Below are 26,985 nucleotides of genomic sequence, written 5' to 3'. Positions count from 1 at the left end.
ACGCCCAGGGATGAACAAGGACTGTTTAGAGGTTAGAAGCAAGATGGGCTCAGTTAAGTCTGATATCTTTCACTGTCATAATTTTCTCAGTTATAGTTTTGCAAAGGTGGTTTCCATTATGTGGGACAAATTATTCATTCATGCGCTCAATAAATAGTAAGTACTTGAGGTGTGTCAGGAATTGGGTTAGGTGATAGAGGCAGATTGAACTATGTAGAAGAATTTATTCCTGCCCCATGTGAGCTGACATTGAACTAAAAGGGAGAAATGGTTTGAATACACAAACCGTGATGATGCACAGGCATTTTTAGGGCTGTTCACAAATATTCTGGCTCTCCTCCAGGCACATGCTAAGATTGTATTTCCCCACCTGCTTTGAAATTTGAAGAGACCATATGACTTGCTTTGGTCCACAAAGTGTGAGCAGAAGTGATGTGTGTAATTTGCATTTGGAAGGTTTAGGAATGATCCATGATTCACCATGCTGTCTTCCCCCTGCCATGATCAATCTGTTGAGATGAAGCTTGGGTCAGCCTTAGTCCCAAGAGGCTAAGCAGAGCCCCCAGCTGATCTGCAATAGATATGCAATATGATTGAGAAAGAAATCTGTGTAATAAGCCAATAAGAGTTTGGAGTTATTTGTTGTCACAGCAAAAGTAGCCCATCCTGACCGACCTGTAACAAGAGTGAGAACCATGAGCAGTGCTAGGGTCCCTGGGGGAGGGGAGGAACTTTTTTCAGATTGCCTTGTACGTTGGTTAATCATTCACCACGTGTGGTTTTGGCTTAGCTTGCTCTCTGGATAAGATCAAAGAAAACGGATTAGCTAGGGAGATACAGCAGTGGGCAAAACAGACCACAAGTATCAATCCATCTTTCTAATGCTATCAGAACATCTCCTTTCTCCCCCATTGTTTTCAGCATGCACTGCCCCCGCCTCTTGGTTTGACTTTAGATGACGGTGAAGTGATCACCACAAGATTGGTGAGGATAGAATAACAGTGGGTGTTTTAAAAATTGTTTCTAACATGATAATCAGAAACAAGAACAGAACTGAAGAAAAGAAATAATCAGAATAGAGATCCACAAGGCCCTGAGGATTTACCATCCAATTTTAAGACTGGTCACAGGTTATTTCAGGGGAATTGATAAGGCTCTAGCTTGATCTATCAGTCAAATCTACTTGTAGTGGGCAGGAATTCAAGCACAAAACAGCTGAGCTAGCACTTTATAACAAGATGACGGTTTAAAAAAATTTTTTAAGCTTATAAGTGCTTTCTTTTCTCTTTCTTTCTTTTCCTTTTTTTCTTTCTTTTTTTTTTTTTTCTTTTTGGAACAGTTCTTGCTCTGTCGCCCAGGCTGGAGTGCAGTGGCGCAATCTTGGTTTACTGCAACCTCCGCCTCCTGAGTTCAAGCAATTCTCCTGCTTCAGCCTCCTGAGTAGCTGGGATTACAGGCATGCACCATGATACCTGGCTAGTTTTTGTATTTTTGGTAGAGACAGGGTTTCACCATGTTGGCCAGGGTGGTCTCAAACTCCTGACCTCAAGTGATCCACCTGCCTCGGCCTCCCAAAGTGCTGGGATTACAGGCGTGAGCCACTGTGCCCAGCCCAATGCTTTCTTTTCTAATCATATATTCTGGTCATATATATTTCTGATATATATTCTTTATATATGTAAATATATATTTTCAGCATTTACATTATACCGTATTTACTATTTGTATATTTTCAACCTTCCTTTTTCTCTTAATATACTAAAAATATTTGTGTATTTAAATATTCTTTTTCTACATGACTTCAAAACAACACATTTGTGTACTTAATACATGAAATATTTATTATACAGACACGTAAAAGGGAATGTATTGTATATACTGTTTTACATTGGACTTTTTCCGCTTATTACATTGTGAATATCTTTTTACATTATTAATTATTGCTCTAAGACATCATTTTTAGTAACTGCTGTGTTCCATTATACAAGTGTAATTTATTTAGCTAATTCTCAGCTGTAGAAAATTTATGAGGCCAGTTGCGGTGGCTCACGCCCGTAATTCCAGCACTTTGGGAGGCCGAGGCGGGTGGATCACAAGGTCAGGAGTTTGAAACCAGCCTGGCCAACATGGTGAAACCCCGTCTCTACTAAAAATACAAAAAATTAGCCAGGCGTGGTGGCACTTGCCTGTAATCCCAGCTACTCGGGAGCCTGAGGCAGGAGAATCACTTGAACCCGGGAGGTGGAGGTTGCAGTGAGCCGAGACCACGCCACTGCACTCCAGCCTGGGCAGCAGAGTGAGACTCTGTCTCAAAAAAAAAAAAAAAGAAAATTTTTTTCAGGCTAGAGTACTAGAAGTGGAATAGCCAAATCAAAGTGAATGCACAATTTTAAGGATTTTGATATGTATTTCCAAAATACCCCATACAAAAGTTATTCCAATAGATGCTGTCACTAATAGCATATTAGAGTAACTTTCCCTGAAACTTTCCCCACCCTTGCAACCCCAGGTATCATTTTTCTCAAGGTCTGGTCTAACAAGTATTAAATGTGGTTTGGTTTTAATTTAAATGTCTTTGGTCGCCAGTGAGGTATGCAGTTTGGAATGATTCCACACTTCCCATGGCACCGTTCTAGGTCTCTGGGCTCTGATCTGCTTGGTGAATCCTTCGCAGTGTTCCTCAGGACAGCTGCGCGCCCTTCTGAGTGCAGGAGGGCAACTCTATCCTGCTCTCAACCCTGGGCTCAGCTACCAACCACTACAGCTTGTGTGGCTGGAGAACCCTTAAAACCCAACCACCAGGGGGCAGAAGAGGTCAGGGTTTATTATGACGGGCATTTATTTGTTTATTGAGACGGAGTCTCGCTCAGTCGCCCAGACTGGAGTGCAGTGGCGTGATCTCAGCTCACTGCAACCTCTGCCTCCCAGGTTCAAGAGATTCTCCTGCCTCAGCCTCTCGAGTAGCTGGGATTACAGGCACGTGTCACCATGCTTGGCTAATTTTTGTATTTTTAGTAGAGACAGGGTTTCACCATGTTGGCCAGGCTGGTCTTGAACCCCTGACCTCAAGTGATGCACCTGCCTCAGCCTCCCAAAGTGCTGGGATTACAGGTGTGAGCCACCTCACCTATGACGGGCATTTTACTGAAGAAGAAACCAAAGGCTTTCCCAAAATCACACAGCAATGACTGACAGAACCGAAAATAGAACCCAGGTCTTCTAACTCCACATCTGGTGCCTTTTCAGGACCTCTGAAGTTAGAGACAAATAAAGAAGGTGGGAAGTGGTGGAAACAGTCTCAAGGCATTTCTCCTTTGACAGATATTCAGATAACCATTTTTTATGATCATAAAAAGGTTGAATCTCATTTAACACATATTTATAAAGCTCCCACTACATATCTAGAAGGGCAATGTGGATACAGCAGGGAGCAAGAGCATTCACAATTCCTGCCCCGGTGGAGCTTCTCATAATGCGGCAAGGATACCCGCTTCCAGTGACACAGCTTCTGCGTTCACATCTTGGCTCTATCACACAATAGATATAGGAGGCCGGGCACATCACTTAAAAAGGTCCACTTCTAAATGTCCCCATCTCTGTGGTGGGGACAATAATCATACCTGATAGGTAAAGTTATAGGATTCAGTGAGATGACACATGTAAAAGCCCAGCATACGTAGTCAGTGCTTGCAAATATTAACCATGATTATTACTGTAATTCTCAAGTGGAACCTCTACAGATGAAACCATTTACATTATTAGTAACAATGGCAACTATTATTGAGTGACCATTTATTGAGTGCCTATAAATCAGCGCGGACTTCAATACTTTCCTAAACTTCCTTGATGGTAATAATCCTCTGGGATGCTTTCTTTTTTTTTTAAAAGGAAAAATTCCCAGATTCTCCGATCTCTTTGAGTCGGGAGTTCCTCTAGAGGGCCTTGGGAATCTATTTGTTTTTAAATTTATCATTTTAGCCATTTTTAAATGTACAATTTAGTGGCGTTAAGTACATTCACACTGTGCAGCCACCACCATCCGCCTCCAGAACTCTTTTCATCTTCCCAAACTGAAACTCTGTCCAGATCAAGCACTAACTTCCCATTTTCTCCTCTCCTCTGCCCTTGGCAACCACCATTCTTTCTGTCTCTATGAATTTCATTACTCTGGGCACCTCATATAAGTGAAATCATACAGTATTTGTCTTTTTGTGTCTGTCTTATTTCACGTCGCATCATGTCTTCAAGGCTTATCCATGCTGTAGGGTGTGTCAGAATTTCCTTCCCTTTTAAGGCTGGGTGCTATTTCATGGCAGGTATAGACCACCTTTGGTTATCTATGCATCTGTTGATGGGCATTTGGGTTGCTTCCACCTCTTGGCGATTTCCCCTCTCACTCTGTACGCCATGGCAGCAGGAAAGCATTCAATGCTTTTCTGGCTCTGCTAGAGACAAGCTGATCAGACAAACGAGGACTCTTTTTGAGCCATTCACACCCACTGATATCACCTGTGAATTCACCAGGTTTAGTGAAGGTTACTAAATTCCAAACAAACACTCTGTTCCCAGTGCACCCAGGTGTTATTGACTGAACCAGTTCTGAAACCTCTCATTTCCTCTTGATGACTTGAGGATCTGCAGCTCACTCCATGCTTGCAGCCACAGGGCGTGCCATACACCTGGGGATACTGTACACCTGGGCATACTGTACACCCAGGCATACTGTACACCTGGGCATGCCATACGCCTGGGCACACCATACACCAGGGCATGCCATACACCTGGGCACACCATACACCAGGGCATGCCATATGCCTGAGCACACTGTAGACCTGGGCATACTGTACTCTTGGGCATGCCGTACACCTGGGCACACTGTACACCAGGGCATGCTGTATGCCTGGGCACACCATACACCAGAGCATGCCATACACTTGGGCACACAGTACACCTGGGCATACTGTACCCTTGGGCATGCCACACACCTAGGCATGCTGTATTCCTGGGCATACTATACCCCTGGGCATACTGTATGCCCAAGCATGCAAATAAGGCCAGGTTGGCTGTGTCACTAGCACCCTAGGCTACAAGATCATCTATTTGGGGTGCTATTCATAATTATGCCATATACAAGTAGTAGACAAACTGGATGTATGGTCACTCTATGTGCAGGGATTGTTTCACCTAAATATGTTCTGAGTTCTTGCTGCTGCCTGAAGAAGAGTCACCACTTCTCATCGATGAAAGCAGATAGCCGAGGCTGCCTGTGTAAAAAAAACCACCACCTTGAAAGCCCCCCATCAGGGCAGCTTCACTCTCTGCCCCAGTGTTGACTGACTCCTGATTCTAGGGAAGACTCACTGAGGCTAATCCAACAGCAAATGCCTGGTGGCCCAACACTTGGAGCCCCACAAAGCAATCAGTGTCCTTCCATCGATTGAGGAGGTGAAGATGTGAGGAAGCGTGAGGTAGGAGGCCTGTCGTGCCCCTCTCCAGGTGTCTTCTGGAGGACTGTTGTGGAGGAGGCAGTCAGACCAGTTCCCTGTCAGGGGATAAATAGGAAGACTTTGATCTTGTGAAAAGCTAGAAAGTTGTTTTTCCCTCAATGTCACTACTCAAGGTCCAGATGAAGAAAATGTCTTCTTCATCTTATTTCCCTTCTCCTTCCTAACTCCACAAATGAAACTGAGCCATCTATCAGAGATTGTTGCTTGCCTCCCTCTGACCCCAGAGCTGCTATAGCAACAGAAGTTGGAACTGGACACAAGATCATGCCACAAAAGACCACATTTCTTAGCTCCCCATGCAGCTCTGGGTACCTTGTGAGTAGATTCTGGTCAACGGGAGGTGATTACAAGTGAAAGGAATGTGCAAAGCCTTTTCCTTCCCATTTTTCTATTGGCTGAAACAAGGATACTTTCTTCTGAGCCACTTTTGACCATGCAGGCAAGAGCAACCTACTTAGGGAGTGAGGGAGCAATGACATGGAAAGAGCCTGGGTCCCTGAGTGTTCACGTGGAGCAGAGACATCTCCCCTGGATTAGCTTCCTCTGCACTGTTACACAAGAGAAAAATAAATATGTATATTCCTATTTCAGTTATGGAAGCCAAACTGATACTCTAATATGATAGCCTTAAATTAGAGAAAAAAGAAAAAAATAGGAGGGGAGAGGAAGGTCTGGGAAGAGTGGTAAGTAGGAGGTAGGTGCAGGAGAATGTGAAAAAAATACTGGACCGCAGATATTTTATTTACTCCAACCCCAAAAGTACCATCAGTCTCAGCCTTCTACCTTGGGTTTGGAAATTCACACTCAATTTTTCTGTTGATTGTCATGTAAACGTTTGATAAGGAAGCATAAGCATTCATGAGAAGACTATATCTTTTTTCTAAAAGTTCCAATAAAATGCTGCAGTATATCACTTTAAAATGATTAAAGATAAGGCTCAGTCCCTGAATTTGTCTTTCCAAGGTATTATATAATCCACTCCTAATTATTCACTTTCCTTTTACATTTTTGGAAAATGAGATCTATTCCTACAATGATTTATGAAACTCAATTTTGGGCACTATAATCTATTTTGCTATTAGTCTTTGCTGAATACATTTAGAAAAATAAACTGACTAGGATATATAGTATTCTCAAAGCTGACTACAAATAATTTGGAGCTTATTCTTAGAAAAATCTGTTCACTGGCTGCTGTCCAATGACGTCCTCCTTACTTCCACCTGGATGGCCATCTTAGCTTCCTAAGGAAATGTGGCAGTCTACTATACCTGTGGCCCCAATGAGCCATTCTTCTAGTACTCACACCCTTGTGTAGTCCCCTCCCCTTAATCTGAGTTGGTCCTGTGATTTGACTAAATCAATAGAATTGGGCAGGAAAACCAGGGTGCTAGTTCCTAGTTTCAGCCTGAAGGCTTGGCCGTGTCCACCTTTGAACTGTTGGATGCCCTGAGCATCCATTTAAGTATTCCGGCCACCTCACTGGAGAGACCATGTGGAGAGGGAGAGGCTCCCCATTTGTGCCTAGACCCAGACAACCCACCACTGAATGCAGCCACATAAGTGCCACTGGCACATCCAACAGAAGCCCAGCTAAATTGCAGATTTGTGAGCAAATATAATGATCATTATTTTAAGCCAGGGAAGTCTTGGAATGGTTTGTACATAGTAATAGATAAACAAATAATTAGCCTTTCTTGAATCACATGGAGCTCCTACTTAAGTTTCCTAAATGGAATTTTCTCACAATTCCATTTGCCACATCATCTTCTGTTCTAAGTTTTTAACCAGCCAGGGTCACCATATACTGTTGTGTGGGTTGTACACTGTACCCAGGCACCTGCCAAGGGAGCCAGTGGGGACTGCTTACCTGGCCTTCACCTGGAGAGAGCACTTTTTCTAAATTGAGTGAAAATGTCTTATGGGCTCCCAGAGGTCTGATAACAGGCACCTTGTAGAATTAAATCCAAAGTTGTTGAACTGGCCTTTAAGACCCTCCTTTAACTGCCTGTTGCCACCTTCACCCTTCCCTTCCAACTTTCTCCAACCCAGCCTCTCATTACTCATCTCCAAGCTTGGCTTAGCTGGGTTACCCTACCTCCCATTGTCAGACGTGCCCCTTCTGCCTGATGGGCAGCAATGTACACGATGCTCCCAAATTAGGGCCACGCCTTCTAAAGGAGGATATAGTCCCGCCACCAGCCCTTTGTGTACTCAAGCACCAGTACATTTTCAGTCTTGTAAACCTCAGAGGATCTAATGTTTGCTTACAAGGACTTTTTTTTTTTTTATTAGAGGTTTCCAAGCATGTTAAAGTAAGAAGGGATGGTGTAGAGATGTGTTATTCTGCTTTTGGTCTTCATATGTGGAGGGCCGAGCCCAGGGAGATTTGGAGCTGCTCTTTCCCCAGGGAACTGTGCTTCATCTGTCAAAGATCTAAAGCACAGGACCTTGCTGTCTGAGCCAGGGAAGCTGGTCTCCAGGGAAAATTCTTTCCTCAGAATTCATAGTGCAACCAGAAAGCTAAATGTTCCAATACACTGTGCAAATGGACTTGGACTTCGTGACATGGGATACACGTTGTCGAACTTTGTAATCTTACCCTTCATTCAATATTCAACACATTTATTTGATCTCTTCCTTTTCTCAGCGTCCCCTTCTTCTTCTGTGCTCTTCCTTCGTTCCCCATCACCCCCACCTCCCTGCCTCTTGGAAGGACTGACTCAGAGTCACCTTCCTGTCAGGGGAGTGGTCGAGGGGATTTCTAGATGTGCAATTAGGGACCAAGGTGCTGATTGTTTTCTTTGATTTGGGACTCTAGATGAAGTACAGTTGCAGGCTGGTGGGATTAAAGGAACCATGACCTTGAGAGGTGTGTGCCACAGACTATCCCCGGTTACACCATGATACGAGGCAACGTCCCCAACTGTAGGGAGGAAAATGATGGGGTGCTCACCTGAATCCATGCCTGAAAGGGACAGGGTGCCTGGTCAAATGCCCCGTAAGCAGGTGTGCTAGTCACGATAGGGGGCACCAATGAACATCTTAGGGAAACTTAGCACTCTTCAGGATAGTGGGTAAAACTAGCAGTTTCTAGCTGAATATTATTAAGGATGGCCCATTTGAGCCTGTGATCTCTACAAATATTGCAGGATGAAAGGCCCCTTGAATTATAATTGGATTCCAAATATTTACCTGGAATAATAGCTTGGCAACTATATGCTGGGAACTGTGAAGTAGAAGTAGTAGTAATCATATTTTTATATTCCTATAAGTAATAATTACTATGATTGAGCAAATATGCATATTAAGTGCTCTCTATTATCTCATTTATTTTTGTTGTTTTTTAATTGTATTTATTTAAGGTATATGACATGATCTTTTGATATACAAAGTGATATGGTTACTACAGTGAAGCAAATGAACATATCTGTCATCCCACATGGTTATCCATCTCCCTCCTTTTTTGACAAGAACACCTAAAACCTATTCTTTTGGCAGAAATCTCAAATACAACACATTATTATTTGATGTACTCCTCATGTTGTACGTTAGAGTCCTAGACTTGTTCATCCTACATATCTGCACATTGCAGCATTACTCACAATAGCCAAGATACGGAAACAACCAAAGTGTTCACTGATGGATGAATGGATCAAGAAGCTGTCTGTCTGTCTGTCTGTCTGTCTGTCTGTCTGTCTGTCTGTCTATCTCTATCTATCTATCTATCTATCTATCTATCTATCATCTATCTGTAGTAGAATATTATTTAGCTTTAAAAAAGAAGATTCTGCCACTCACCACAAGTGAACCTGGAGGACATTATGATAAGTGAAATAAGCCAGACCCAGAAATAAAAATTCTGTACGATCTCACTATATGTGGAATCTTAAAAAAGAGAAAAAAAAGTCAAATACACAGAGATAGAGAATAAAATGGTATTTACCAGAGGCAGAGTGGGGGTGCAGGGAGGAATGAGAAGATGTAGGGCAAAGGATATAGTATCTCATTTAATCATTACACCAGCCCTATGAAATAGGTGGTATCTAGTTTTGGAGGTGAGAGATCCAGAGTTCAGAGGTTTAAATAACTTTCTTAAGCTGGTAGGTAGTTGACCTGTGATTCAAACTCTGAGTAAGGCCCATACTCTCATTCTCATCCTGGCCTGCCCTTCCAGTCATGAGCAACACCACAAGACCAGGCTCATCTAGGAGCAGGCAGAGGCTCAGTCAGCTCTTCTACACCTGCTGCCTGTGGCTGCCCCAGCCCAGCACTGCTACATGGCAAATCCTCTGGACTGCTCAGCCATCACTCTGGGGTTCTGCACTTTACATTTGAGAAATTCTGGAATAAAGCAAGTTTTGTTACACAAGTCACTTTATGCAGATTCTCTGGCCAAGCCTCAAGGCTCTGACACCACCAGGAAGAGGAAATCTGGTCTGAGCCCAGTGAGAAGCACATAGGCAGTGGGGCTGATGTGGAGGGGCTAGGCTGGGGGAGAGGATGCAGGCCCTTCTCTCTCCCTGCTTAGATGTTTGTCCGCATTCCACAATGTGTAAAAAGAGTCAAGCCTGGGGGGACTGATTTGGGGTTTGATGGGCACTTGTAGTTTCTTTGTGATACACTTTGTGGCTAGGTATGGTTGCTCACTCCTGTAATCCAGGCACTTTTGGAGGCCGAGGCAGGAGGATTGCTGAGGCCAGGAGTTCAAGACCAGCCTGGGCAACATAGCAAGACCCTGTCTCTACTTGAAACACAAACACACGTACACACACACACACACACACACACACAAAATACACTTTGGAAAACCACAAGGTGATTTCACACCCGTTTCTTATAGCTGAGGCTGTGAGAAAATCTAAGTAAGATACGTTAAAGGCAGTCACTATTCTGGATGAATTTCCTCCACCAGCAGAGGTGACGAGTATTTTGTAGGGAGAAAGCATTCTTTCCCCTCACTCAACTCAGTAGGAGCTCCAGGAGGGAGGCGGCTTCAGGACAGGACTGGCGTCGGAGGTGACTGACAGCAGTCAGCTGCTGGGTCATGGCTGCTGCTTAATGTCCTGTCCATTTCGTGTTCACGAAATGTTCTGCAGGTTGATGTCAGTAGAATTTTATCTCAATTTTCTTTCTAGGTCTGACCCTTGGGAAGAATCCAGCACGAGGTAGGAGTGAAGAAAGGAGAATGTAGAAGACAGTTTTATTCCCTTTGTGATCAAGAGGTTAGGTCGCTTGTGGCATTCTGGATATGGAGGTAGACTTCATTTTTATTGATTTAAACTCTCTAAATCCATGTAGAATAAGCGTAATTGTAAACCCACAGGCACAAGCTACTGAGAAAGGCTGTGTAGTCATAGCCTGTGGCTACCTCTGAGAAGAAGTTCAGTCAGCACTTACCCATCCCGGGTGCTTTGATATTATGCATGAGTCAAGGTAGGGAAGTGGTTTGGAGAGAGACTTCCCCTGGATACCTGGGAACTCGGTGACTTTATGAGTTCATTGCAGTGAGGGGGCATTGGGACCAGCATAATGGGCTGGAAGCTGGACAATTGGGTCTGAGGACTGGTTCTGCACTCGCCTGATTGAGACCACAGACAAGTCTCATAACCTCTCCAGCGCGCCCCTTCTTCATCTGTGAATTGATGACCACTAAAGATGATAATGGAAATAATGCTTCTCTTCCAAGGAAGCTGCAAATATTAAATAAGTTAGTATGTGTGGAGATGCTTTATCATCCCTAAAGCATGCTACAACTGTGAAGCTGAAATGCTCCACATGTGAGGGGCTGTGCTACCCCAGTGCTTAGAATGCCACAGGCAGAGGATGCCCTCAACAGGAAAACATTTATAATGATATTTTACAGTCATACAAAGAAAAGTATCGTTATTGTTCTGATGCAGGATAGAAACATTTAAAAATGTTTTTATTTGCATCAGAGACCTCTGAATATCTGATAAAACCGTGAATCTTTTCTTTCTCTTAAAACACACACACACCCCACACACACACAGAGCAAACAGCAAAAATAAACCATGCTAATACATTCATTCAGTAATGCTTTACATACAATTTCTGGGGGCTCATACTTTCTCTTAGCTCATAGCTTAAGAAAATGCCTGACCTAGAGACTGGTGCAGGCTTGTACTCTCAGACTGTAGTCTAGGAGAGAAATAGACTGCATAGAAGAATGAACAAAATAACAATGTTTAGCATCTGCCTGAGAAAAATGCTACAGAGAACATCTCTGGAATTCTAATAGATTCCTACAGCCCTCTTGAAAAAACAGTTTATGTCTGATGTTAACTAGTCTAAGTTAAAAATGTGCTCGGGCTAAAGAAAGTGTCTGCCCCACAAATGTGGCCACCCTTCAGCTCACTGATGCTTCTGTGCAAAAAGTCGTGGTCCGGATATCTGAATCCTCCTCCTGCCTCCACAATGGGCTGCTATCCGGTAACGGCTGTGAGGTCCATTACCGCAGGGCGAGGCTCTTCCAGGACGCTCAGATGCCTGCTCAGAGCCCAGCTTATCGGGGGGATCTGCGAGCTCCTGTCAACGCCCTGGTGTGTCCACCCTGGCCCATCTCGGGGGACTAGATTTTACCCTGAGCAACACATGATTTTTGGGTAAGGGCTGTCCCTGCTAAGTAGAATTTCATTTTGGATTCAGAGAATTCAGAACCGGAGTCAGCTCAGCCCAGGTGGAAAGGTAAAAATTCACACCAAGATCAACTCAAACTGAGTGAGACCATGGCCAGCGATGGAAAGTGAAAAGGAAAGAAAATAACTGAGCAGGCAAAGCTCTGTCCCACTTTCTTCATCCAGCTGGGGCCTTCCACGGGAGAGCACTGAAGGTATTTGCACTCAATGCTTCATAAAGCCAGCCAGGGCACTCATTTTTAAGTTCACAGTGCGCCACCTTCTATCTTCGGGTTGTTTATGGCCTCTTGGTTATAGGATGTAAACATCCCCCATGGGAGATGTGCAGGTTACCCACCTGATCAAGCCGGTGCTCCCTGGGATCCTAGAGATCAGAGGCCTCCTGGAAGGCAGATGGTGCGAGGCCTGGATGTCGGCTTCTCTCCCCGCATCTAGATCAAGTGGCGGCAGCACAGGCAGCTGGAAGGTACCCACAGAAAGAAATCGAGCACTATGTTCAGAAAGATCCACTCCATCTTTAACTCCAGCCCACAGAGAAAGACGGCGGCCGAGAGCCCCTTCTACGAAGGAGCCAGCCCCGCAGTGAAGCTGATTCGAAGCAGTTCCATGTATGTGGTCGGGGACCACGGGGAGAAATTCAGCGAGTCCTTAAAGAAGTACAAAAGCACCAGTAGCATGGACACCAGCCTGTACTACCTGCGGCAGGAGGAGGACCGGGCGTGGATGTATTCGCGCACCCAGGACTGCCTGCAGTACCTGCAGGAGCTGCTGGCCTTGCGCAAAAAATATCTCAGCAGCTTCAGTGATCTGAAGCCCCACCGCACCCAGGGGATTTCCTCAACCTCCTCCAAATCCTCCAAGGGAGGGAAAAAGACTCCTGTCCGGTCTACTCCCAAAGAAATAAAGGTAAGTGCTGCTGAGCAGTACAATTTAGATGAGGGTTTTTCTGAGAGCCTTGGGCAACTGTTTGAAAGCTTCTTCCTACCTCTGCATGGCTTAATTAATCTGACACATTCTGAGCCGCGGCGCAATAGTCCTCAGATGCTTTATGCGGCCATATCCCCAGCCTGGGGAAGGGTGGCTAAGCCCATGTTTATTACTCATTTATTTATTATTAACTTTATTTTAGGTTCAGGGGTACACATGCAGGTTTGTTATATAGGTAAACTGTGTGTCACAAGGGTTTGGTGTACAGATTATTTTGTCACCCAGGTAATAAGCATAGTGCCTGATTGGTAGTTTCTTGATCCATGTTTATTTTTAATACCCAGGAAGCAAAAAGGAGCAGGTAGTGGTGTCCACAGAGCAGCTCGGTGGGGAAGACATGGGTTTTGGTGTCAGGCGGCACCATATTTGCATTGCACATCTATCAATTCCTTCCCAGTGTTATAGGTGAGATAATGCTTGCATGGCATTTGGATGACAGCAAATCATTTTTCAACAAATTGTTGGTTTTTAAAAAATTATTGTTGTCACATCTAAAAATCCTGGTGAAAAGTGAAATCATCACATGACTAGATGTTTTCAAATATTGAGGTGCTTAGCCCCACGCAAGCCAAACAACTGGAAAATTCCTCCATCTGTACCTCAGACCAGGCATGTGGTGGCTCAGGCATAGACACGGAGAGAGTCTGTGTCTCTTGGGAGATTCCCGGATGGCTTTGGGCACTGGAGGTCTCCAGACAGTCACAAGCATGAAATGAGTGAAAGAAATAATTTGCATTTATCTCTTTGTTTATGCTTATTGCAGTGTTTTGTATATACCAACTTTTCTTGAGCGTCACAATAAAGCCAGTACAGTAGGTGGGGAGGAACTCCTTCAGTATCACAGAAGGGAAAACCGAGGCTCAGTGACCCACCTCTAGGTGCTAGGTCACCTAATTTTAATTATGAGCCGGCAATTCATTCAGTTACTCTTTCCTTTATTTCCTCAGACTTGTATTTATTTAGAGACAGAGTCTCCTCTGTTGCTCAGGCTGGAGTGCAGTGGCATGATCATAGCTCACTGCAACCTCAACCTCCTGGACTCAAGTGATCCTGCCACCTCAGCTTCCCAAGTAGCTGGGACTACAGGCACCTGCCACCACACGCGGCTAATTAAAATTTTTTTTTTTTGTAGAGATGGGAGTCTTGCTTTGTTGCTCAGGCTGGTCTCAAACTCCTGACCTCAAGCAGTCCTCCCGCCTTGGTCTCCCAAAGTTGCTGGGGTTACAGGTATGAGTCGCCAAACTCAGCCAGCTTTTATTTATTTCTAATGCCCGTAGGTTAAGGCTGTTTTGTTGTATACTTCCATCAGTCATTTTCCTGATGACCAGATGAGATGTTTGAAGCAGGCCTGTCTCCCGCTTCCTTGCTTTCTCCCCAGAGTGTCCTGTAGGCCGTGCAAACTCCATTAATGTTGAATGACTGACTGGCCCACTATCAAATCTCTAGGGCTTGGCCTAACCCAATTGGTTTCAACTGTCTGCATGTTATACCAGGTGGGAGCAGTTTAAATAATCATTTTAACTCTAAAAGTATGTCAGTGTTGGGGGCCCATAAAAAAGGGTCCTAGTCACGAGTCCTGGTGCTGACTCTGTGGCCAGCCAGCTGTAGATCTGTGGGCCAGCCACCTCTGATGACAGAAGGGGTTGCAGTGGTTTCTGGACTCCTTTCCAGCTTGGATATTCTGGGGTAGTAGGCACTGGCTAGATTTCCTCTAGGTACTACATTTCTCTGCAAATGGAGCTCTCTCTTATAGGACCTACCTCCCTTCCTTGTTGAGCTATCTGAAGATGGAGGGAATAGAAGCAGAATGACCAGTTCTAGCCCTTTGAATGGCTGTGCAGAGGCACATGGGCCTGATATAACGTAGGGATCTCCTTCGGAGATGCCTCTCACCACAGCGCAATCAGGAAAGAGTTTTGAAAGGACACTGAAGTCAATCAGACCAAGATTTGAATTTTAGTTCTGCTATTTACCAGCTGTGTGCCTTTGTTAAGGGAAGTTCACCTCTCTGGGTCTGTTTTTCTGTCAGGTAGTAATGGAAATGATAATGTGAGGAGTAGGCTCCTGCACGTAATTGTTCCTAGCACATACCAGGTACTTACTCCAGCGTTCACTGACTCTGAAATGTTGGATACAGGAGGCTCTTAGCCGTCTTTTCAGCTGCTGTCTTTCCCCATGGCTCTGACAGAAACAGCTGTATGCTGGGCCTGCCTGTGAAATGATGGGTTCAGGCTTCATGGCTGGTGGGGTGGCCCATGGCTGCCTGGGTCTCTGTGCATTGCCGGGACAGGGGACCAGAAGGAATCCTTTGCCCTGGAATGCCGTTACCCCATGCTTTGGGAGAAAGCTCTGCTGACATTCCAGGTTTAGGGAAAACACCATTCTTTCCCCTGACTACCTACTATGAGTTGAACTGTATCTCCTCAAAATGTATATGTGGAAGTCCTAACCCCCAGTACCACAGATAGTGACCTCAGTTAGAAACTAGGTGATTGCAGATGTAATTAGTTACGATGAGGTCATGCTGGAGTAGGGTGGGCCCCTAATCCCATAGGACTGGTGTTTTCATAAGAAGATGGCCATGTGAGGACACAGAGATGCAGGGAGAATGCCACGGACAAAAGCCAAGGACCTACCAGAAGCCAGGAGAAAGGCCTGGAACAGACCCTTCACCAGCACCTTCAGAGGGAGCATGGCCCTGCGGACAGCTTCTGGCCTCCAGAACTGTGAGATCTATAGCTCTAAGCTACAGAAGCTACCCAGTTTGTGGTGCTTTGTTACAGTGGCCCTAGGAAATGAATATACCCCTCTATAGAATTAGCCTCTTCTCTTCTCCGGCATTGGTCTGAACACACCTCTATTTTAGCTTTCATCACATCCTACTGTGGTTTGTTAAAATGTGCGTCTCCCCTGGTGGACTGCAGTGAACTTGGTGAGCTTGAAGCTGAAACAGTATCTTTCTCATTTTTCTATCTCCAGAGCATAAAAGTGAATACTATCAATCATTTGTAGATGCTTTATAGCCTTTAAAAGTCTGATGTCTTTTGTGCCATACAGAGGGGAGAGCCGGCCTCCATATAGGGAGGGAGCAGTGTTCTCTGTGACACCAGGGCACCATGGCAGGCCCTTTCTGCTGCCCTCCCTCCCTCCATCCGGATGCAAGCCCCTGGCCTGGCCACAGGACCTAAGTTCCCTTGTCTGTCCCTCTTTTGTGGTAAGATAGTGGCTTTTAAACTATTTTGATTAGAATCCATTGCAGTAAGAAACATATTTTGGATATTGACCCAGTTTACCCAAACACACAAACGAAACAAAAGTTTTATGAAATAGACTTACTCCTGTTCCTTGCTTAGCACTCTGATGTTTTCCAAAGCATTCTATGCTATTCTAATTTTTTTTTAAAAAAATTGTCATGACACAGTAACTTGATTTCACAAGCCATTACTGGATCAAGACATATGGCTTTCATGCTCTGGAATGAGGCTTTCTAACAGGTCCCATTGACATGTGAATGGCATCCAAGGCCAGGGTACCAAATGGTCTGTTACCCCAGCCCCCTGGAGATACCCAGAGCCTAGAAGACCACCCATGTGGGTCGATGGGAGGAGGAAGTCAGGACACACTAGAAGCGAGGTGAGCCTCGGGTGGGTCTGGGAGCCCCTCCTGGGACCCTGCATGGTGGGAGTCTCTGCCAGGCCCTGTGGCAATGTACTCCTCCCTCAGAATAGGTCATTATAAAAATGAATGAATGAAATACACTTTTTGCAACATTTTAAAATCAAAACAACAAAAAAAATCCGTACGTGAGGGTTTTTGTGTCAGTGTTGGGAATGAGCTGCAGTTTGGGACTCATTGTTTAGGTGCTAAAAGGTTAGAATTTCTAACCCAGGGCATAATGTGTGTGGCAGAAGGATGGCATGTTTGAAGTGTGTCTTGTCAAGGAATGTAGAGTCTCTGAACCAACAGGACAAGCCTCCTCCTGCTCTGGGCACCTTGGGTGTTTCTTGCCAGTCAGGAGGAGCAATGATGTTCTCCTCTACACCCACTTCCCCTGCTCCCATGCAATCAGCTGTATTCCTGACTTCTAATCACCCTCCAAACCTGACCTGTTGGCTATTAGCCTCATTCTATAAAGGGGAAAACTGGGGCTTGGGGGCGTTAAGAGATTTGTGTAAGGCCATGCTCCTGACGAAGAGAAAGCCAGGATTTGATCCCAATCTGTATCGTGCCAGAACTCACACCCTTGTCAATGTATCCACTTTGACTGGAAAACATGTTTTGATATTGTATAACCTAGAAGATGCAAGAGTGTGCACCTTAGGATGTGTACTGCAAAGGCTGTTTTATCCTGCACACCTGGGCCAGGGAGAGTCATTAGGGAGGCAGCTGCGTCATACTGCACGTGGATTCTGTGTAGGGTGAAGCCCTCCCAAAGTGGGAGAGACTGGGCTTCTTTTCTTCAAGAGAAACCTGGCTGAAAGGAAGTGGCCAGAAGGTATGCTTTAAATTGTTTTCTTTCCACAATCCGTGGATGGAATTTATCTCCATCTTGACTTCTTTTCACATGGCTACCTGTGATTCCAGTTTTACTCTAGGTCTCTGTAGCATTGAAATATTGAGTTTGTATATCATCTACTTTTGCACTTCTCAGTACACACTAGGAAAAGAACTGAGGAAACAGTGCAAGCACAGCTACAATCGGAACTTCATGATGGGTAGGTATTATGTCCTGAAATCATTTTTCAACAAGATACTTTCATATCTCCCAGCTCATTCTACAAAGTATCTGAGATGAAGAATCTATGGCAGCTGAATTAGCTTCTGTGTAGCTGAATTAGCTTCTGTATCATGTCGAAACTCATACTGTCAATATATCTACAGCATCTTTTGACTGGAAAACGTATTTTGATCTTGTATAACATACAAGATTCAAGAGCATACAGAATTGTTAAGTAGCACCAGAAATTGGAAAATCAGGAGAGAAAAAAAATCATAGAAAATCAAGACCACTCAAAATAATATGCAGATCATAGAAGCTAATTCAGCTGCCATAGATGAGCCTTAGATTTGGCTCTGTCCTTGCTGGAAGCTAAGATAAAAAGAGCTGGGCTTGTTTCAAAATTCTGATGATCTGAGAAGAACCATACCCATTGCTTAGGGGAGTGAGATTTTCCCCCTGGCTTTGAATTTCAAAATATCTCATATGGCACTTGACTTAGGGAGTCTTGTGTGATGTGGTTAGTGATGCCCTTAATAATATTTTAGTAACAGTTTATTAATATATCACTCACTTGTCCCTTAACACATATCGATTGAGCACATACTATGTGTCAGGAGCTGTTCTAGATGCTGGTGAAGAAGACAAAGTCCTTGTCCTCATGGGGGTAGTCGGTCTTGCGAGAGAGCAAGACCAGAATTCCTATGGTGATTTCTCAGAGCCCCAGCTGTAACCACACAGGGTGTGGTCCTGAACTGCATCTTAGTGAGAGACTATGGATTGGCAGCTTAGCTGAGCTCAGTAGCTTCTGCCAGCCCCTTCTGAGCCCAGGGAAGAATTCAAATGCCAGAGGTATGGATACATCACACACCCTTCCCAATGGCCTTTGTCAAAATCCTCCGAAGAATTGGTTCACCCCAGGAGAGAAAAATGTCTGTGAAAAGTAACAAGTTGTCCTGCTGTGTTTTTTGCTATTTCCACTCCACCCTGCATCCTAGCATGTTAGACAGCCGATTGCTCCCTGTGGAGTTTGTTCCAGGGTCACGTATGGGATGTGACTGGCATCAGCCTCTGTGTGTGCCTGTCTCATTTGCTTGTTCCTGTTAATTTCTTCAAGCTGCAGCCTTCTCCTGCTATGACGAGCCCTTGGGTTATTTTACTTCTCTCTTTTCTCACCTACTCATAAACATCACTTTTCTTAGCTTGGCTTTTTTTTTTTTTTTAATATAATAGCTTTAATTCACATACATAAAACTCACTCTTTCACAGTGTACAAGTCAGTGGTTTTTAGTCGATTCAGTATTGTGTAATCTTCACCACCATCTAATTTGGAAACATTTTCATTACGAATTTAAGCTTTATTTTAGTGTGGTACAATAAATGTAACATAACTTTTACCATTTTCACACAGCACTTCATGGTTCCTGAAATGAGTGCCTTTTAGTGTCTTCAGATTATGGGTAATGAAGTCTATTACAGTTAACAAATTCTTAAGAAATTAAATACTTTTCTCAAACTCCTGGACTCAGGCAATCTGCCCACCTCAGCCTCCCAGAGTGCTGGGATTACGGGTGTGAGCCACCACGCTCCATGTACTAAATGCTTTTCTTTGAATGACTTTGTATCAATTTTTTTAAAAGTAAAAGTGCATACTACTAGATATCCTTCAAAATGTTAATAGCCAGATAATAACCAGGGTCTTTCACACTAGTCTCCCATGAGCTTTTCCAAATTATCATTTATATAAGTGTATAATAATTCATCCAAAGGATTATTAAGCCCTAATTAATGTATTTTTAGGACACTTTATTAAAGTATTGTTAGTAGTACCCTAGAATACGAATTCCTTAAAAGATCGTGGACCCTCTCAAAGTACCTCATTTAGAAATCAGGAGAATGTTTTTATAAAAGGTTTGACAATTATTTCTTTAAATATGAAACAGTCTTTTAAAGTAAAATATTTTAATATTACCATTTTAACTATTTTAAAGCGTACAATGCAGTGGCATTAAGTACATTCACAATGTTGTGTAGTGATCACTACCATCCATCTCCACAACTTTTTCATTCCAAACAGAAACTGCACCCATCGAACACGAACTCCTCATTTCCCCCTTTCCCCAGTCCATGGTAGTCTCTGTTCTACTTTCTGTCTCTGTGAATTTGCCCATTTTAGTACCTGACATAAGTGGAATCATATTCATTCTTCTGTGTCTGGCTTATGGCACTTAGCACAACGTCTTCAAGGCTTGTCTGGGTTGTTGCTTGTGTCAGAGCTTCCTTTCTTTCTTTTTTTTGAGACAGAGTCTTGCACTGTGGCCCGCGCTGGTATGCAGTGGCGCGATCTTGGCTTGCTGCAACCTCTGCCTCCCGGGTTCAAGTGATTCTCCTGCTTCAGCCTCCTGAATAGCTGGGACTACAGGCGCTCACCACCACACCTGGCTAATTTTTGTATTTTTAGTAGAGACGGGGTTTCACTATGTTGGCCAGGCTGGTCTCAAACTCCTGGCCTCATGATCCACCCGCCTCGGCCTCCCAAAGTGCTGGGATTACAGGTGTGAGCCACTGCGCCTGGCCCAGAACTTCCTTTCTTTCTATGACTGATCAGTCTTGGTTTCAATGGGAGGTGAAGAGGAAAAGTTGAAGCCTGTGCTCTGCATCTGACTAGAGTGCTTGCTGGCATTTGGGGTCCTCCCTGAGGACAGCTCCCCACACTTTTAGGGCCAGAGAAACAGCAACAACCACAGGCCACTTTGAGAAATGGGTCATCTAAGTGGACCCAAGCCTGACTAGATCACAGAGAAGAGGCTTGGGAGGCTGGCGACAGAGCCAGGCTGCTGCTTTGGGGTTGGCAGCAGAACCCTATGGAACCCCATGGCTCCCACACAGTCCAGATGGTTCACATTGGACATTTTCTCAGGCGGGGTTACTTGTTGATATGACTTGACTAGGTGTCTCCACCCAAATCTCATCTCAAATTGTAATCCCCACGTGTCAAGGGAGGGAGGTGATTGGATTATGGGGGCGGTTTACCCCATGCTGTCATGATAGGGAGGGAGTTCTCATGGGATCAGGTTGTTTTAAAGGTGTGGCACTTCCTCTCTCGCTTGCTCTTCTCTTTCCTGACACCGTATGAAGAAGGTACTTGCTTCTCCTTCATCTTCTACCATGATTGTAAGTTTCCTGAGGCTTCCCCAGCCATGTGGAACTGTGAGTCAATTAATCTCTTTCCTTGATAAATTACCCAGTCTCAGGTATTTCTTTAATAGCAGTGTGAACATGGACTAATATACTGGTCACTCACCACAGTCAGAGGAAACCTCATTAATTCTCTCATGGATCCCTGAGTAGCTTGGATTTCTGATATGTCTGCCTGAATGAACTAGTTGCAAAATATACACCCCTCCCTGATCCTCATCTAATGAAAGTCACCTGTTACAAGAATGGTTTAAAAAGAACCCATTGAATTCCGAAGAATACCTGTCAAAAGTGATTGATTTTTAGTGAAAATAGTTTTATTCTGAAAATAGTTAGCTTTCAGAATAATTTTCTATTAAGGCCACTCAGCCTTGGTTCATAAAATGAGACCATATCAACAGCCTGTAGAGGCTCTTTCTCCTCTATGGCAGGAGGGTCTGAATCCAATTCATCTAAAAAGACTCCAAATTGTCTGTATATTAATTGCATATGGGATAGGAAGCAGGTTCTTGATCTGTTTTACACCATTGATAATTATTTTTCAGATCTGTTGAGAATTTCTGCAAACACAGTGATATTAAAATGCAGGTTTTCTGTGAGCATCAGTTACTGGCGGGGGCTGGGGAGCTGTCTGTATCACTTGGCCAGTGTCTGGTTTACATAGTTGAAAGGCAGTAAAAATTCAATATGAACTGCAAAAAATTTCCTATTATGCTTGGCAGAGTTCTCCGCAAGATGGCAGACAGTATAATAATGATTGATAACTGTGCATATGATTCCTGCAGTCCCTCTCAGTCAAGCTGCAAGATGTGTAATTATATTCCTAATCTATCCTCTGAGCACAAGCTGTTTGCTCTGCCTAGAAACAATACTTCCTCCTCCCTTTTTTCTCTCCCCCACACCACCTTGTTCACCTGGCTAACTTCTTGTCCTTTGAGACAGCAGAGACAGCACTTCCTGGGAAGCCTTTTCTCACATCCACAATTCCACACAGTGGATTTCCCTCCTCCCTGCGTCTGAGCCTTGTTTTAGCACTCAGCACACTGTAATTGTCTGTTCTTTTGCTTATCTATGCCACTAACTGTGAGCTCATTGAGCAGAGGCATTATATCTTATTTATCTTTTTAACTCCGACCTTTAGCACGGTTTTAGGCACATGGTAGATGCTCAGTAAACCAATTACCTGAGAAACTCCAATTGTAATTTAAGAAGAAAACTGTTATAAACTTTGATGGAAGATCTGGAAAAGTCATAGGTGTGTGGTTTTGATGCCTTTTCTTTTTTTTAGTGGAATAGAATATGGTTTGCGTATATTCATGTGGAATCATATCCTAATAATTAAAATAGCCATTATGTAATTGATTAGAGCCCACCATCAAAAACACACGCTATACATTTTTTTCTGATAATAAAGTTATATTTGCTTATAAGATGAAATTCATAACACACAGAAAAGTATAGGGAAGAAAATAAAAATATCTTAGAATCCTACCATCTAGATAGAGGTACTCACTGTATAATTTTTAGGTATATTTTCTTTTAGTCATATTTTCCTGTGTATTTGCACATATGTGCATTGGGGTTGTAAGATAAAATGAAGAATGCCTAGCAAAAATTAGAATTTTTTAGTATAAGGATGTCCCATGTAATATTTGGCATGTATTTATATGAAAAATTATTCATTGTTTATCTGAAATTAGTCTTCAACTGCCATGCTTTATTTTAATTTGTTAAACCTGGCAAACCTCATGTCCATATATGTATAAATGTACTAAATTTGGTTCATACCATATATACATCTTTGTATTCTTTTCTCAGTTAATGTTATATATTGTGAGTTCTTTTCCATCTCATTAACTACTTTTTGAAAACAAAAGCTTAAAAGGCAAATTTAACAACTCACCTTCTACAAACAATTGCTAAACGTTATAAATAAACACATTTTACTCTATGTCTGTAAGGCATTTTTTAGCAGAGATTCCTAAAGTGTGATTAATGGGTTGAAGGCCAAAGGTCATTATTTTTTAGGGATTCTTTTACGTATTACTTTCCAGAAACATTTTACCAATTTATGCTTTTCATCGACAGTGGGTTTCTAATAAGCTCTTCTATTTGCATTTTATCAGCATCAAGTACTGTCATTAATTTTAAAAGTTTGCCAATTTGATAGATAAATTGCAGTATCTTAAGGTACTTTTATTATTGCTTGCATAATGACCTTTGCAAAGGGTCATTGAAGAATGACCTTTTTTATCGTCATAAAAATGCATACTTCTTATTTAGTGGATTGTTCATTCATGTCTTCATACATTTTCTTTTGGCTGTATTAAAGTTTTGTTATTTATTTATAGGGACACTTCTTCTTATATTTTGTTACTTACAGGGATTTTTGAGGATATTAGCGCATTGTCTTCCATATATGTTAAAATATTTTCTCCAAGTTATTATACCTCTTTTCATTTATTTGACGTTTTCTGATGTGCAGATACTACTTATTTTTGTGTCTTCAATTTTTGTCTGTAATTTCTTCCGTTGCTTTCATGCTTAGAAAGTCCTTCCATGTTCCAAGGTCAATTGCATATTTGCCATATTATCCTTTTTTTAATAGTTCCGTTTTTCTTTTTTTTTAAAAAAAACCAATCCCTTTGTCTATCAGCAATTTATTTGGATATGTAGTAGGAACTGAGAACACAACTTGAATTTTCCCGAATAGCAAAGTTTTCCAACACTATTTATTGACAACTGGCATGTATATAAAAGTGTACATTCCTTCTCTTAGTGGATTGTGACATTTCACTTACTGTATGTGAAGATTTTACACTATGCTTTAAGTCTGTTAATTCAGTTCTATCAGTTAGGCTTCTAACAGTTTGATATATATGAGCAACATTTTATTAACTTAGTGTTTTGTTAAAGCCAAATGATCATTTACATGACATATAAGGCCAGGAGTTACAAGGGGCTAACAAAATAAGTAATGGCTTTAAGATTATAAAGCTGGGCCAGGTGAGGTGGCTCATCCCTATAATCCCAGCACTTTGGAAAACTGAGGTAGGAGGATTGCTTGAGGCCAGGAGTTCGAGGCCACTGTGAACGATGGTCACGGCACTGCACTCCAGCCTGAGTGACAGAGAGATATTCTGCCTCTAAACAAACAAAAACAAACATTATAAAGCTGGGGAAAAAGTAAGCCTAAAACTGTTAGTTGGATCCAGTGAGTCTACAACCTGTTACCAGAAACAAAAGATATGCAGCTGTTCTCCCAAAACTATTTTAATATTTAGTTATAATAGATAATACCATGGTTTAGTTATACTAGAGTTTCTGACAAACTTCTTATTTTTATCTCTTTGTGATAATTTTCTCAGCTCAGTTGTCTATTTCACTGATTTTTTTCTTCAGCCCTGGCAAGTTGACTATTTAGCTCATCTATTGAAAATTTGTATGTGGCTATGTGTGCCTATGTATTTAAATTTCAGTGATGATACTTTTTTCTAAGTTTTTTTCTTCCTAGTCTACAGTTCTTGTTTCATAAACTCCCATTCTTTTTCCATAAAACCCTGTTCAATTATGAGCATACATTTCCTTGGGTGCTGTAATATAAAAGAAATAGATAAGTATCACTTTTGCCTTGGTCCTGTACCTCCATCCCAAGGATAGCAAAAGGCAAAAAAGAGGCACTAGATGAAACTTTTAAGGTTTAAAACCAGAAAAACCTTATTTGGTAATATTAAATTGCTTGTGGGTAAATTTGGCTTGTTTTGCATTTAATTTCACCCAGTTGAATGATCCAAGTATAAAATGACCTTCTCAATCAGGACCAATTCCACGTTTTACCCTGGAAATTTCATCACCAATATTGACATTCAGATACCTAGGTATGATTATCCCAAGAAAGTATTATTAGTACCTCACAGAAATCGAAAGTGGAGTTCCTAAAATTTGCCAAATTAAGTCCCAAAGTACTGAAATAGATGCTCGATGTTCATACATAAAGACAATATATTTGCCCTAATGCAGCCCATAGCTTGAGGCAGCAACTCTCAGTGTCATTGTTTGAACCACACTGGTGTGTTGAGGTGCCTTGGATGAGAAACAGGTGGAATTACAAGCAGAACATTGGGAGTTGTGAATATCCTACAACCTGTCTCATGTATGCAGCAGCTGGCAGTGTGCATTTATCAGTAGGGGTATGTCATATTTGTGAGTGTTATTTGCCAAAGTCATCTCACAGAAGAGGTTGAGGATCATTGGTCCAGTATGAATTAATACAGTGTGCGATGTGGATGTATCCAATGAGATAGAAAATGAGCATAGAAAAGATGTGCCTGGGTCTGTCTGCGGCAATTGGTGAAAGCTTCAGAGAGGAGATGACACATGAGTTGACCCTCTGAGGAGATGAGGGGAATTGCCAAGTAGAAGAGGTGAGAGGGGGCTGGATGCTTAGCAGTGGTCTCCTTGGCATTGGCTGGGTTCTCCTTTCTGACACAATGTTGCTGTTTACAACGGGAAGTTTATTTTGTAGAATTTAGATCTCTTGCAGAAAAATACTGACAGAGCCCAGAAGAAAATGAACAGACTGGGGAAGGGAGCATCTCAGGTACCCGGAGGGTGGTGAAGCCAAGCAGGATGGCAAACTGATATGAAATGAAAAAAAAGATAAATAATATAAAATTAGAAACTGCCCTCAAGGAATTGGAAATTGAAATGAGAAACACAAAGGAGTTTTGTTTGGAAAGTGCAAAGGATTCCATCTGAGAAAAGTAATCCGAGGCTCAGGCCTAGGGTAGGGAGATGGAGCAGGGAAGACTCGGAAAATGATAACCCTAAGGCCATGGAGGGTTAAATGTGAAAGGCAAACTGGAGTGGAGCTGGCAATAAGATACAGATTCTCTTAGAGAAAGCTTTGTCTCCCTGGGCTACTTCAGGGCTGATGGCAAAGGGACATGGACCCTGTGAAACTCAGCCGGGAAGGCTGCAGCAGGAAACAGCCTGCATTACATTTGGCATTTCCAAAGACCAAAAGGTCTGGGCTAGGAAAAAAAAAAAAATCAAGATTGGGAGGGAAGCAATCCACTTTTGCTTGGAGTTGTGAGTTCAGGGAGGGAAGACTTTTGGGTTTCACCTAGGGGTATTGATGACTGAAATCTCATTTTGCACAACCACCTCTTTGTAAAGTAGATTTTCCTGTGACAATAGCCTGAGCCCTGAAGGAATCTCTGCGGGAATGTCATAGTGTAGGTTAGAAAGCCCCATGGAAAGTGTGAGAAGGCAGAAAAAGCTGAGCTCAGCATGAGTTCAATCCAGAAATAGAAAAGGCTCAGCCCCTGACTGGTAGTTTAGACTTGGTACTTAGAAAATCATCATAGAATCCATTTGGTGACCTTTAAAAGTATAATTTATAAAAGGACAATAGAAGCTCTATTAACCAAACCCTACTTAACTAACTTGCCAGATTACTTGATGCTCACCATTCCCTCATTAAGACACCCAGAACAAGCTGGGTATTTATAAATGGAAGCCTATCTCTAACTATAGTATTACAGGCAAAATACAAAATGACATATGACAAGACTTTTCATTGCTGCACTAATAGCAAAAGATTGCAAACTACCCAAAGATCTATCAATAAGGGATTGTTGTTTGCATCTATGCATGTCTGTACAATGGAGAACAGCTATTAAAAGGGATGAGGAGGATCTCTATTTACTGCTATAGAGTGATCCTCAGGATACGTTGAGTGAAGAAAGCAGTACTCACAGGTGTACATGGTATGCTCCTTTTTGTTTTTTTAAAAAGCAGTAAATACAAATATGCTTGCTTGTATTTTCGAAGAAATGATAGAAAGATAAACAAAATACTAAAGCAAAGATAGAGGAAATGAGGAGAAGGGACTGACATGAAAGCAAGCCCTCTCTTG

At 42.7% G+C, this 26,985-nt stretch overlaps 1 protein-coding gene across 4 annotated transcripts in view, besides 2 other annotated features; it reads left to right on the top strand.

Moving 5' to 3' along the window:
• The window catches only part of C13orf42 (chromosome 13 open reading frame 42), a 90,270-nt gene that overhangs the window by 48,524 nt on the left and 14,761 nt on the right, over positions 1-26,985 (top strand). Inside the window, exon 2 of one of the 4 annotated variants that reach the window (NR_102431.3) lies at positions 10,643-10,672. The exons of 1 other annotated variant lie outside the window; for it this stretch is intronic. Coding sequence is in view for 2 of the 3 variants with exons in the window: in NM_001351589.3 (NP_001338518.1) it covers positions 12,656-13,069 (414 nt within the window). In the remaining variant the exon portion in view is untranslated. Of the gene's footprint in view, positions 1-10,640; positions 10,762-12,590; positions 13,070-26,985 lie in introns of those variants that run through there. 2 more of the 4 variants (XM_024449398.2, NM_001351589.3) reach the window with 2 other exon arrangements.
• Positions 10,250-11,449: an enhancer, noted in NCBI's record as "CDK7 strongly-dependent group 2 enhancer chr13:51686552-51687751 (GRCh37/hg19 assembly coordinates)". NCBI's record gives its function as "activates an origin of replication core promoter dependent on BRD2, BRD4, P300/CBP, MED14 and CDK7 cofactors, with strong dependence on CDK7, by STARR-seq in HCT116 cells {active_cell/tissue: HCT116}" and the evidence as "EXISTENCE:reporter gene assay evidence [ECO:0000049][PMID:35650434]".
• Positions 12,134-13,333: an enhancer, noted in NCBI's record as "CDK7 strongly-dependent group 2 enhancer chr13:51684668-51685867 (GRCh37/hg19 assembly coordinates)". NCBI's record gives its function as "activates an origin of replication core promoter dependent on BRD2, BRD4, P300/CBP, MED14 and CDK7 cofactors, with strong dependence on CDK7, by STARR-seq in HCT116 cells {active_cell/tissue: HCT116}" and the evidence as "EXISTENCE:reporter gene assay evidence [ECO:0000049][PMID:35650434]".

This window comes from Homo sapiens, chromosome 13 (genome assembly GCF_000001405.40).
Source record: "Homo sapiens chromosome 13, GRCh38.p14 Primary Assembly".
NCBI lineage: Eukaryota > Metazoa > Chordata > Mammalia > Primates > Hominidae > Homo > Homo sapiens.
This window is presented reverse-complemented; position numbering and strand designations above follow the sequence as displayed.